This window comes from Homo sapiens, chromosome 21, assembly GCF_000001405.40.
Source record: "Homo sapiens chromosome 21, GRCh38.p14 Primary Assembly".
Classification (NCBI taxonomy): Eukaryota; Metazoa; Chordata; class Mammalia; order Primates; family Hominidae; genus Homo; species Homo sapiens.
Window position 1 is genome coordinate 40,072,355 of NC_000021.9, and position 13,803 is coordinate 40,086,157.

The following is a 13,803-nucleotide window of genomic DNA, read 5'->3' on the forward strand; positions in this document are numbered from 1 at the left end:
TTTTTTTTTTGAGACAGAGTCTCGCTCTGTCACCCAGGCTGGAGTGCAGTGGCGGGATCTCGGCTCACTGCAAGCTCCGCCTCCCAGGTTCAAGCGATTCTCCTGCCTCAGCCTCCCAAGTAGTTGGGACTACAGGCGCCCGCCACCACCCCCGGCTAATTTTTTTTGTATTTTTAGTAGAGACGGGGTTTCACCATGTTAGCCAGGATGGTCTCGATCTCCTGACCTCGTGATCCGCCCACCTTGGCCTCCCAAAGTGCTAGGATTACAGGTGTGAGCCACCGCACCCGGCCTCTCCTGTCAGATTCTTGATTTGAGAGAACCCTTTATTAGCCATGTACAAAATGCCGAACTGCAGATACCTTTGTGCCATGGCAAGCTACTTTTCTGAAATCCTTTGCTCCTTAACATCTCTTAGTAATACTCCCTCTTTCCCTCAGCACTTACTTTCTTCCTACTGAAACCTTTGTGTTGGATTTACCTTTTCCCCAGAACATAGAAATCAAAACTATTTCCGGAGAATGAAAGGCCATGTTCTCTGAGGTGATAGACTGCTGTCTTTACCAAAACCAACTGCAAAACACTAGTGTCTGGAAGCAGGGAGGCCAACAATAAAAATGCCAGCCCCAGGATGTTTTCTGGAGATAGCCCTTGTACAGCAACAATTAAATTACAAGGAACTACTAAGAATACAAATACAGGGTGCATGGGTCATCATTTCAACCCAAAGGCCTCACTCAGTAAGAGCCCACAGCACCTTTAACTGGAGGTGCTCTCAGCGAGAGGAAATGCACAGCTGGGGTGCTCAAGTTCGAAGGTGAGTAGGAAAAATAAAATAGTAGCTGAGAAGGATGGAGAGCAATAGGAGTCAGGGAAAAGAAGAAAAAGTGAATTTGGCGAGGGTGTAGACCGATGAGAAGCATTACCTAGATGCTTAACTCTTGTGATTAAATCAAAATCATTAATAAGAAATATTTACTATTGGTTTTTAGAAACATCATACAGACAATGTGCAGCCTTCTAAATGCAAGTAGTTAGACATAGTTGTCTAATGGTAACAAGGAAAGACACCCTTGGTATCTCATAATAATTCTCCTAAAGTCCAGGCCACTGTGAACAAGGGTTATGAAAACATCCTTTTTGTGTTTTAGTGATGAACTGAATGGAATTCAACATGGTCCACATTATATGGAACTTCTCACCATAATGGGCTGTATTATACGCTTGTAGTTCTGTTTTACTTAGCACTGAAGTAGCCTCCCTTTTCCTCTCCACTTGGGATTAATCCGTCCTTCTTTTTCACTGATGCGGTCTTTCTTTGAAGCCCTATTTCTGTATTCATGACATGTTTTGTCTTTCACTGGTAGCTGCTTATGGGCCTACCTCCTACCTTAAACCTAGAGTTCAGAAAGCTCTTTCTTCTCATCTTTGTGTATTAAGCACCTAGCATTCACTCAAGTAATGTCTGCAAAATTAAAAGATAATTGGTTCGCACGATTGCGAAAGAACATTTCAAGGAGACTGATGGCTGACCTGAATTATTGGGCTGCAGGAGATTTACATGGACAGATTCTTAATTGTACAGATGAAGTACAATGTACTTCAGAATTGTAATTTGTTGGCAGAGCAAAAGCAAGTTGATAGTGAAATGTACCAGAATTCCATAAAAAGCAGTGCTTTGGTGCTTTGGATAAGTGAAGACAGGTGAAAATATTACCATGTTCTCTGCTCTAAGTGGATTATGGTCAAATTAAGTATTTACAGAAGAGGTCAACGTTTTCTAAATGTATCAGTAAAGTTTGGGATATGTTTTGAGGAGAGAGTGCTTCCAGATTTGTACTTTGAACATAACTTTGAAACACACATAGGATGCTGCATAGCAGTATCCCACACTGCACTGATATTAAAATGAAAATCCCTTGTAATACACGTTACCGAAAAAGTGGCTTAGTTAAACACCCTCACTGGTAAAGGGCAAAGGACCTGGGAACACGTCTGCACAGTTTCATATTTGAAATAACTCCCTGTCCTCACATTGCAGAGCAAGGGCAAGTAAGGGCTCTTGGCCAGAAGCTGAGAACAGCCTCATCACAGAACGACACGGGGCTGGACATTATAATCATGGTGTCTGTTCACAATGGAGCTCATCTGGCCTGGCTTCTCCAGCCTTCATTATGTTTTTGCTACATTAGAGTGAAACTCTTACACTGGGCTTCAGCTCCCGTTTCTAATTTGGGATGGCATGTGTCCTCTGCCTCACAATGCTTCACCAGTATCCTAAGCCCTCAATTTCCACTTCCAGTCAGTCAAGTAATTCTCATTCCCAGAGCAAATCTGATAGATCTTTTCATAGAAAGCCACAATTGGTGGCTTTGCTGGACCCACTGAAAATTTAAGAGACTAGAGTTAAAAAATTAATTTTCCTTGCATACCAACAGCTAGGATTTAGGGGACAGGTTGGCTTTCACCTGATTTCTGACCGAGATAGGAACATTCTTATTGCTCTTCCCTGAGGCTCTGCAGTCTCGCTGAAGGAATGTCAGAGAACCAGGCAGTGGAGGGACCTGGGTTAAAGAGGGAAGAGTCACTCCCTTTTGAGGTTTGTTCTCCAGCTGGCATCTCTCCCATTGGCTGCAGAGCAGCAGGGGACACGCGTAGGTGGACAGCTGGGCCTGGACCTACCTCGCAGCCTCTTTAGCCTCTGCTCCCGCCGCCTCCTCCGCACAACCAGCAGGAGCACAAACAGCAGCAAGACCCCCACCAGGATACAGGAGATGGTCACCAGCATCTTGAGCCCCTCGTTGGTCGTCAGCCCTTCTTCGTTTTGGACAACTGACTTAATGAGTGGAGGAATTGTACCTGAAAGCAGGGCCACGGTGTTAGATGGCTATTAATGAAGACGGCATGGCGGAGCTTTTAGGGATGACAGGTTATAAAAATCGCGCTGTGTGATCCAAGGGTGTTGGAGGTGATGAGAAATGAAAAGAACTCTGTCTCTAGGCCCTGGCTAACTTTTTTTCTTATTTATTTCCCTCCCTCTGCCTGAACTTCCAACTTATTCTATAGTGCACGTTTGAAAAGGACTTCATTTTGCAATGCACTACAGTGTGCAGGCACTTGAAAGCATGAGGCCCAGGCTTGGTGCTGACAAAAGCCACATGCATCTACCCAGAATTAAGTGTTCCCTTGACTGTCACCCACAGTACAATTGATAGAGACTATTCGAAAAAATTGCACATCAAAGAATGAACAAAAGGTTGGGCAAATGGACAGAAGCGCGTGTGCAGGGAGAGGGTCCTAGATACACTGGCATAAAGAAACTCAAATCCCTTGTGATTAGGTAATTTGCTGGCTTTTATCGCAGGTGTAAGACCAAATCTACTTCAACAGCTGTGGTTTGAGGGTACAAGAGCTACAGACAGCTTTTCAAAGGGGACCCAACTAGGTTTCTAAAGGAGCCTACTTTTGATCAGGCATGGTTAAATAGTGCTACAAAATCTAGATTATTTCGAGTAATAAGGAAACACTGAAGGAAGATGAACTCTGAGCTATCTTAAGCTGCCTTCTATCCAGATGCTCAGTACCGTGGGTGCAGAGATCTAAACACAGGCATCCACTTTTTATGAGGTATATATTTTGCTACCCTCCATTATATAAGATGCTCCACGCCACTGCACTTTCCATGTACAACAAGGGCCAGAAAGTCAGCACTTCAGGAAAAGAGAATGCAAAAATAATATAATTTCTCCCTCAGCAAAACGGTCTTTATCCTGCATTTAGTAAGCAGAGCAGGGATAATGGAATCCTCGTTCCTCTGTGATCTCTGCTAAAGCTGAGAAGAGTGTTCTCCCAACTTTAAAGTGTTTTTGTGGAAGCCCAAGTCTCCAAATGCTTAGAAATTCAGGAAAGAGGCACTTACAGGATGCCCATGAAGAGGGGTCTGCAAAACCAAGACAACACTAGGTCAAGCAGAAACATTCGGCTAAGGAAATGGCAGAAGAAAGAGTGAGATCATTAAATGGAGGACTCTGAAACCTGAGTGGTATGAATGTAGGCTGCCAATCTTGGCTTTCTCAAGATAACAAAGTTCTTCAGGCAGATGTGACAATAGAGGCTATCCATTCATGAGACTGGTCCAAAGAAATCTGTAATCTCTCTCAAGGAAAATATAAATATGCAGCCATATTTCTTAGTGTAATAAAGTGATTTCATATTTCCAAAACGTAAAGGTAGCTTGCAGCATTTTTCAAAATTTGGGATCTTGGATAAAGTGAGAAAATTATATCTTTTCTTAGAAGACAAACATTTAAAATCCGCAGAACACTTTGTGAATTAGAATCACAGTTTCAAATTCTACACATGAGTAGTTTCTAATTAAATCATTAGCTGTGAGCATATCATCAGTGTGCACATTTAAGCTGGGTGCCCAGGCATCTGCACATATTATAGAGAAGCTGGGAACCAGAGTGTGAATATTGCAAGATAATGATCTAAAGTAAAAAAGATACTTACTACTCAAATGTGTGCTGGTTAACAGAGGATTTTGGTGCACCCTTAAATGCTAAGTAAAGTGTCTGGTAAGTGTCAAAGTTCTTTATTTTGTAAGATCAAATAATTCAACCATATTACAGGGAGAGGCCAGCTTGGAAGTGCTCCTCTGCCTCTGGGTGATGCTTTGTGATGGGGACACCTTTGAATGAAGTCACTGAAGAGTGAGGGCTATAAAATTAGAAAGAGGCAGCCCATGAAAAGCATCAGCCCTTGAAGAGAAAAGTTGTCGTCTGGGAGGGCATAGGCTATTCTGGGGCCATAGGACAGAGCCCGTGCAGAGGCCAGGGACCCCGGCTAGCGTAACCAACACTAGAAGAGCTTTCTACAAGCTCAAGGTCTTCCTACAGCCCTGAGACCCAGGCCAGAAGTGCCAGGAAGACCCTGGACTCTGGCAGAGAAGGATGTTGTGGAAAAATGACCTTGGACAGGAGATTTGGGGTAGGTCTGCTCTGTGTGCCAAAGCAAGAAGAGCCAGCCCTGGGCCATCCGGACATTATAGGAGAAATTGGTCCGATGAAAATCCCAGGCAATGTCACCTCATTAGCTCCTGGTGGTCATTTCTGTGGGTCCTTAGGTTCACAGCCACTCTTCTTAGGATGGCATAAACTGTGCTCCAAGGAGCTACCTGCTGGAGCTTTAATAAAGCGGCCTCCCAAATGCACAAAGTAAAGAAAGAATCACTCTCCTAGAGAGCAATGCTGATGCTTTTCATGGGCTGCCTCTGTCTAATTTTACAGCCCTCAGTTATGAGTGACTTCATTGAAAGGCATCCCCTCACAAAGCATCACCCACAGGTAGAGGAGCACTTCCAACGTGGTCTTGGCTTGGCTGTCAATAAAGGGTTTGGGTGTTTCTTGGTTAACTCATTCAACACTGTGGTCTAGCCTGACCAACAGGCAGTGAATAGAAGGCTCTGAGGAGAGTTGCACTGGAGTTCCAACTCATCCTGATGCATTGCTGCCGTTTTTACCTTGCAATTAGAGCACCTAACTCAATCCTTGCTGTTCCCCTAGTGAGAAATGAGCATCAGCCCGCTGCTGCTGGGACTTTCTAAAGTTCCCCTACTAAGTTGCAGTCGAGGACTCGCTCCTTTCAGCTTCACTGGGCTTAGCATTTGTTCAGTTAGCAATAAATGGCCCTTGATACCAGAAAAAATGAGTGAGATTTTAAACCATTTATTTTTGGTTAACTAATGTCAAGAGACACCTCACCTAGTTTTTGGAAAGTAAATGCAAGTGGCAAGTGTGTGTGAGTTTGTGTGTGTGCACGTGTTCATGGATTCCTATTATTATCCTATTTCCATCAGTGGCCCTGCTCCTGCCCAGAGACTAACATAAGCTCCTTTACCATGGAAAATTGTTTTTGCACATGCAGTTTAGGGTGTAATGAGTGCAAAAAAGAAAGTTGTTATGTGGATTGGGATGAGGTGGGGAAAGGGGTGGGAGACAACAAAAGCAATGTTAGCTCATAGACATCAACACAAGCACAGAACCACAGGGTCAAGAGTCCTTCAGCCCTAAGAGAAATCACTCCTGCCCCATGACTCCCCAGTGAGACTCCCTATGGCCCTGAGTCTCTTATTTCTGGACACACAGTGATGGTCATCTGGATATAACGAACTAGGGAGCCCCAGACAGAGTCCATTGAATCCCGAAAGCCTAATGGGCTCCGTGGGCACTGGTCAAACTATGGCAAAGATGATGTTCGATGGGAAAGGGGCAGGGCCCACGTGCACATCCCCCAAGACACAAGCAGGAGAGCCACAAAGCCAGCCAGCTTACTGCCATCGTAGTTCAGCGTAGCGAAGTTGGCCTGCTTCTCCGCGCAGCCCGCACTGTTGCACACCCGCATCTGCAGCTCATACCAGGTGGCTTCCTGCAGGTCATACAGGATGTAGGACTTGGAGAGAGAGGTCCTCTGAGCTGTGGTCCAAACTGTGGTCCCAAAGGGCCTGTACTCTAGTGTGAAGGAGGTGATGGGGCAGCCGCCATCATTCCAGCCAATGAGGTTCAGCCTCACGCGTGTGGTGTTGATGCTGGCAAACAGCTCCTGCTCCTTTGAGAACTGGGGCTCTGGGGGAGAAGGCACATGGAGGTCAGCTCACAGGACACATGGGGAGGCCATCAGCATCTTCACGCATTTCCCTCGGACTGCTTCCTCCAGCGAGGCCAGGAGCTCAGTCCAAGTCTGGCTCACAGGCCACTGGCAACTTGTCCCCTGTTAATAGAGACTTTATGGACCAACAGGCTTTCTCCAACTGTAATGACCTGGGTGTGTGACAGAAAATTGCATGGGTGGAGGTTATTTTGGGGTATCTTAGAGTTCCCTAAAGAACAATAGGATGTTCACATATGGGTTTCCTTCTGTGGTTTGCGGGGCAGTGTGCTGGGCACTTTTTCCATCCTCATGTGATGAACCTGATTCAAGAGAAGACAGAGTTGGATTTGGGAAGCACCAACAGATTTTCCTCCACAACTAAACACTTGGTCTTGGTGCCCAGGGACCTAAAGGATATATTTCTGCATAAATCAATCCCCGATCATTTGACCTCTTACCACTTGTTACCCAAAACTGTGGCACCAGGCACAAATAATACCCTTGCTATCTCATTACTCGCTCTCCTGCCATCTGACCCCACCCCACCTGGTAGGACTCCTATGGGAGGGAAGCCTGCAAAGACATCTCCTCACCTTCTTCCTATGCCCACATAGAGCTGCATCATCCCTCCTTCCTTCTGGAGTTCCTGGGACAAAACCTCTTTCTCTGAATATGATTTCTTTGGGATTCATCTCCTTGAAAGTCCACATTTTAGATTAAAAAAAAAACAAACGCAATTTACCCCATCATTTTCCCTCTGAAAAGCGGTGGCTATGTGGCAATGTGGAAATGATAGGAAGGTGGGAGCAAGGGTGGCTAAGGGAGAAGGGCGCCTCCAAACGGCTGAGAGGGCAAGCGCCACGCTTCATGGCTGCCCAGCCTTGGCACCTCACATTCACACCAACGCCCTTGATTTTCAAACTGACATTCTTCTTTTTAACTGCAAATGAAACAATAAAAGAGAGGACCAGAACACTCTGGAAGGTCCAGCTGTCCCTCTCATTATGCCGTGGCACTGCTGAAGCCATGTGAGGAATGACAAAGTTCAAACACATAAACGTAAAACATGATGGATCTTTTATGATTCCAATCTCCTCTTCTGGCCGGGAAAAGAAAGGATATTAAGAAGCGATGAGAAGGCATACCTACCTTTTCCTAAGGTCTTTGCTTCTATGATTTCACTTATGCGCCCTGGGCCCACTCCATTTTGGGCTGTCAGTGTGAACTTATACCAAGTCCCACATTTGAGATTTTCCAAGCGATAGGAACGTTCGCTGGGGCTGATTGGAAAACTCCCCCACTGCTCACTATTGTCCTCGGAGTACTGCAGTATGTATCCTGCAGAGAATGAGAAAGATTCACATGAGCACTGTGTTTGCTTTCTATGGGAAGTGGACTGATGCTTGCATTTTGTGTGGGTAATAGAACGAGCATTCTCAGAACTGAAGAATCTTCAGAAGGAACATTTTCGCTCTTTCTGATTCCAGGAAATGTAACCCAGCCTGGGAGAAGCACCATGATGTATTGATTAGTGAGTCATTTGGGCCACACCAGACATTATCACTGTGAAGTATTGCTGTTTTCTGCTCATTCTCTTCTAAAAGCCATATTGAGCAGCAGGGAATACTTAAGTTGCCAAATATCTGTCCCTCAGATCATACATGCCTGAATCCTTGAGTGAAGACATAGGCTGAAGCTGTTATTTTTGCAAGACACTCGAATCTCTGGGAAAGGGATACATTATCAATGGGAGTAGAGATTTCTTCAACTGCCTCACTCCTCATGTACTCCTGGTCTCACAGTTCACAGACACTAGGAGAAACAGCTCCAAGTCTTGCAGCCATCCCACTATTCTGACAGTAACCTGGCTTCTCTTTGGTTTGAAAAATTCCTCCAACAATTCATTCCCCCACATGAGCACTACCTCTACTTTTACAACTAGTAAGGATGACTGTCCACTCTAGAGCACTCACTCCATGCCAAGCCCTGTCCTAAGCCCTTTGCTTACAGTATTTCTGCAACCCTATGGAACAGTGACGACTCTCCCACAGAACACGTGGGACACTGAAGTCCAGAGCAGTTAAGCGGTGAGTCCCAAGTGCTGAAAGGAGGATGCAGATCCTGCAGTCAGCCTGAAGCCCATGTTCTTCACCCCTGTGAATGCTGAAATATTCTTCCTGTTAACTCCTTCAGCCCTGTTATCTGCAGCCATGTTCCTTCTCCACCCTGGCTAGCTGGCCTGGAACATGGTGTGTTTGCAACAACGGGTTGGTACCTTCTATTCCTGTCCTGTGGAGCTCCATTTTAATAAAAATAAAGCATTTTTTTTCCCTGCACACTACAGTGTCTCCTAAACCCAAATGGGCAGGTTTGCTGATTTCCACACCCCTTACATGGCGATCACTCATCTCTGATGCCTCCTTCTGAGGTCATTGTCAGTATCTCCCCTACTCCTTTCAGCCTTCCCTCACCACTGGCCTTCTGTGGCCATAGGGTCCCTCCTCCTTCCTGAGCCTTTGTGTTCCTCATCTGACCTCCATAAAGCTCCTTCAGTACCTGACAGGTGATACCTGTGCACCTGCTCCCAGCCACATCCCAGCCTGTATTCCAGCCGCCCTACACATTGTAGGGACTCTGCTTTCCTCCCACTTTCCACCCTCGAAGCCACCTCAAAAAACTCCTCTAATCCTTGGTGATAGGCCTGTATAGTTCCCTGTCCCCTGCTATCATCCTCAGTGCCATCAGTGTCCATCAGTGTGGGCACACAACTTACGACACCTCCTGATGATGGCAATGGCTTTGGCCACTACTGTGTTTCAGGAATGCTGGGTTACCTTTGTCTTGGAAACTCTCCCTCACTAAAACTGGCTTCATCTGGAAGACCTTGTGCTCTGACACACCCTTCTTGTTCTACCTCTCCCATGCTCTCACACTTGTAGAATCCAAGCCTCATTTCATTTGAGCCTAAAACCTAGGGTCCCTCGAGCCCATCCCTAGGTGCCCCCTATTTTTTTCCTATAAGAAGGTTCTCTAGTCAGCCTGGAACCTTTGGTAGGCCATTTCAACAAGGAGCCTAGTTTCTCTCACTCTTCAGACTTCTGGCAATGCTTATGTTACTGGTAATCTGTGATCCACTTTTCTTCCCAGCTGTCCAGAATCATTTAGAAAAGTCATTAGGCCAGGTGTGGTGGCTCAGGACTGTAATCCCAGCACGTTGGGAAGCCAAGGCGGGTAGATCACTAAGTCAGGAGATTGAGACCATCCTGGCTAACATGGTGAAACCCCATCTCTACTAAAAGTACAAAAAATCAGTCGGACGTGGTGACACGTGCCTGTAGTCCCAGCTACGTGGGAGGCTGAGGCAGGAGAATCACTTGAACCCGGGAGGCAGAGGTTGCAGTGAGCCGAGATCGTGCCACTGCACTCCGGCCTGGGCGACAGAGTGAGACTCCGTCTCAACAAAACAAAACAAAAAAGAAAGTCATTAGACAGTGATAATTGTGACTCGTACAATTTGTGCTGTGCATCTGCAGCTGGGTCCTTGCAAGCTTCTTGGCAATGACTCGGTTCATCTATTAATGACTCTCTGTGCATTCCACAAGGCAGCTATTACAAACCTATCCCATGCTCCTCAAATCCACAGACACATCCTCACCACGATTTTAAAAAAATCACCTCACTTTTTCTTTCCTAAAAGAAAAAAAAAAAAAAAAGATCTTCCCTTCACCCATTGGAGTGCTGATAAATGTTTAACAACTGGTTCTTGGAGAGGAGAAAAAAGGCTCTGATTTGTAGCATTTCTGATTTCCATGGTGAGGGAATGTTCTTAGGGTGGCTGTGGCCACTGAGCATGAAGCTGGGAAGGGATGTGGCACCTCACTCTCGGAGCTGGAAGGAGCTGCTCCAGCACACTACTGATGTCACTCTGAAATGCTCCTGACTTCCTGTTTACTTCCCAGCCTTCTTTCTCTCTCAGAAGAAAGGATGTTCTCTGCCTTAGGAAGTCTAAGCCCCTATTCTCTCTCCCCGGCCCTGGGACCTCCTTTATGGTACAGGCCCTCTTTCCTGTGTATCTTCTGTCTCTAGCTTAACTCCACCCACACTAGAACGACCATGCTCACTCCTTCCATATAAACCTCATTTAGGCCGGGCGTGGTGGCTCACGCCTGTAATCCCAGTACTTTGAGAGGCCGAGGTGAGCGGATCACCTGAGGTCAGAAGTTCGAGACCAGCCTGGCCAACATGGCAAAACCCCGTCTCTAGTAAAAATACAAAAACTAACTGGGAGCAGTGGTGTGTGTCTCTAATCCCAGCTACTTGGGAGGTTGAGGCAGAAGAATCACTTCAACTCGACAGGCGGAGGTTGCAGTGAGCTGAGATAGTGCCACTGCACTCCAGCCTGGGTGACAGAGTGAGACTCCATCTCAAAACAACAAAACAAAACAAAATCTTGTTTATACACCTCAACTATGAACTAATTGCAAAGGTTTTGTGCAAATAGATTGTTTTACATCTACACTTTAGGTCCTCTGTCTTTTATTACTTTCTAAGTCAGGACAGTACCCATGGTTACATAAATGAATGACTTTGTGTTGACAAAATAAAAAAGAAACAGTGTTTAGAATCTCAAAAAAGAGATATCCAAATTTCTTTTTTCTTTCTTTCTTGCAACTGTTGATATTTCACTCTTAAATGAGCATCCTTGGATGAATGATTTGAATTTCAACAAATATCCTAAAAATAAATGTATGGTTTCTTTCTTAGGTAATGGAGGGATTGTTTATATGACGTATTTTTGGGGGAGAATAAAGTAACACATACCAGTCATTTGCTGAAGATGTGTCACTTATTGGCATGTGGATCACACAACTAATCAACTATTGTGGACAATCTATATCTTATTACCTCTGATAGAGCTGCCCCCGTTGTCTCCAGGGAGCCAAGAAAGGGTGATGGAGGAAGACGTGGTCTTGGAGACTGTAAGCCGAGGCTGATCTGGTGGAACTGGAGAGGAAACAGTTTTTAGAAAACAAGAATTAGTTTTTCACATCTTTAACTTTCCTGAACAGTCATTTACCAACTCATTTTTAACAGCCATTTATTAAATAAGTGTTTCAGTTTGCCAAAATATACAATTCACTTCTGTCAAAATGTCTATTTAGTTGATATCCTGGGCTAAAGAGATAGAACGGAGTGAATCTATTATTTAAAAAAAAATTCAGCCACATTTCTACTTGGATTCATATCTAACTCATTTCCTCACCAGTTCCTTGACTGTCTGAGTTATTTATCACTAATTGAAATCTTCTTTAAACTTACTAAGGATACATGCCTCATTTTACTATGAATTTCAGCCATGAAATTTAAGTGAAAAAGATAAATGGCATCCACTTAGCAGTTCCGTTCTTCTCAGGATGGAAAAGGGGAAGGAGGAAAAATAGCTAGTGGGAAAAAGAATTGCAAAAATCTTCACTTTCTAAGCTATTGCTCCAAGATGCAACACACACACACACACACACACACACACACACACACACACACACACACACACACAGAAAATCAAAAGCAGGCCTTTGAACTGCAGAATATGAACTGGTCTCTCTTACAAGGCTTGTAGAATACATACTGGTAAGTAAGTCTGGATGGGTTCTGAGGGCAGAAACACTAAAGAAATTCAGAATCAGGTTATCCAAATCATATAGAAAGCTTCATATAAAATTCCCTTCTCTTTTCCTCTGAGAGAAGCCTAATATATTGACCTATCTCTTCAGAGTCATAATATAGTGCCTGTCTTCCAAAATTCCCTGGAATTCTCCTGACTTCAATTAATTTGAAATTCAAGATCAATTTTGCAGCATTTTTAGAAATATAGTTCTTTTCCTTTCCTTCCATCCCACCGAGAACAGTATTGATTTTATTTTTACTTGCTGTAATCTATTAATGTGACAACACCTAAATCCAAAGAAGCACACACTTTGATTTTTCTACTAATAAAATATTGCTGTGCATACAAATCTGAACTCAATCACTTATTGATTGGGATTTACACAAAATTTTAACATGACAATCTTTTGAAGTTGTGCACATTTTGTGTATGATATCAAGAAAAATACTTAGTATTAAATACATAGCTAAATACTACAGCGATCTACTTAGAGCTCCAGTTACTTTCATTTTTTAAAATACATTGCATATAAAAATTGAGTTAATTAGCATACAAAAAAGACCACAATTCAGACTTGTTTTTTGTTTGTGTTTTCTGGGATACACTTACATATATGTAGAGTAAACAGTGCAATTAATGGAAATTATTAAGAAGGACTTTTTTAGACATGTACACATAAAGAAAAAAGAGACTAGGCTTTCTGTATGCAAAGATGTTTTGTATCTCAGTATTTCTGAGGTTGTGAATGCTTTGTATTTTCTTTGATTTGTTTAATTATATTTTGCAAAATGAACATGTGTTTTCTTTTTCTGTAATATGGAAACAGAAGTTAGCTCTTTATAAGGGCTGATTTTAAAATTTGTTCAGTGCTACTTTTTGCATAGAAAGCATACATGTAAAAGATATCATTAAAAAGAGTCCTCAAATGTTGTACCTTGTACTTGTAAGTTTAAAATAATTTCATCAGATCCCCAGTTGTTATTGGCAATGCAGCTGTAATAGCCGGAGTCTTCTGCTTTCACCGTGCGAATAATGAAGCTTCCGTTGCTAAAGATGCTCCTCCGCCCATCAATCGTTACTAGACTGGGTGTCCCGTTACTGCCTCACAGGAAGAAAAATGCACAGATTAAAGAAATTACAATCCAAATTAGCTGAGGTTGGGGAAAAACAGAAAGACTCTGTGAAGCAAACCACACATTTGGAAGCTTCATATTTCTTGCATTATGAAAGAACTAAATATGATTACATAATGAAAACAATCAATAGCTGTGTAGCTGAAGTTTTCCTTTGTAAAAAATGTTACGTTGAAGATGAGATCTGTGTCAAGGGCCCAGATTCTGGCTCAAGTCAGTGGACTCCTCATCTGTGCCAGAGACTGATGGGTCCCTCTTTACTCCACTCTGTGGGCACTGGAGATATCCTCATTTTGGCAATTCTGGGAATTTCTTCTGTAGGCAGAAGTGCCAGTTTGAACAAATCATACAGGGGAA

The 13,803-nt window shown here is 43.8% G+C and overlaps 1 protein-coding gene across 4 annotated transcripts in view; it reads right to left on the reverse strand.

Annotated features, from left to right (window-relative positions):
• The window catches only part of DSCAM (DS cell adhesion molecule), an 836,160-nt gene that overhangs the window by 61,356 nt on the left and 761,001 nt on the right, over positions 1–13,803 (reverse strand). For 3 of the 4 annotated variants that reach the window (NM_001271534.3, NM_001389.5, XM_017028281.2), the window contains 5 exons: positions 13,248–13,411; positions 11,554–11,652; positions 7,798–7,986; positions 6,333–6,623; positions 2,683–2,859 (listed from right to left, as the gene is read on the reverse strand). In NM_001271534.3, coding sequence (NP_001258463.1) covers positions 2,683–2,859; positions 6,333–6,623; positions 7,798–7,986; positions 11,554–11,652; positions 13,248–13,411 — 920 coding nt within the window. The remainder of the gene's footprint in view (positions 1–2,682; positions 2,860–6,332; positions 6,624–7,797; positions 7,987–11,553; positions 11,653–13,247; positions 13,412–13,803) is intronic. The other variant, NR_073202.3, reaches the window with a different exon arrangement.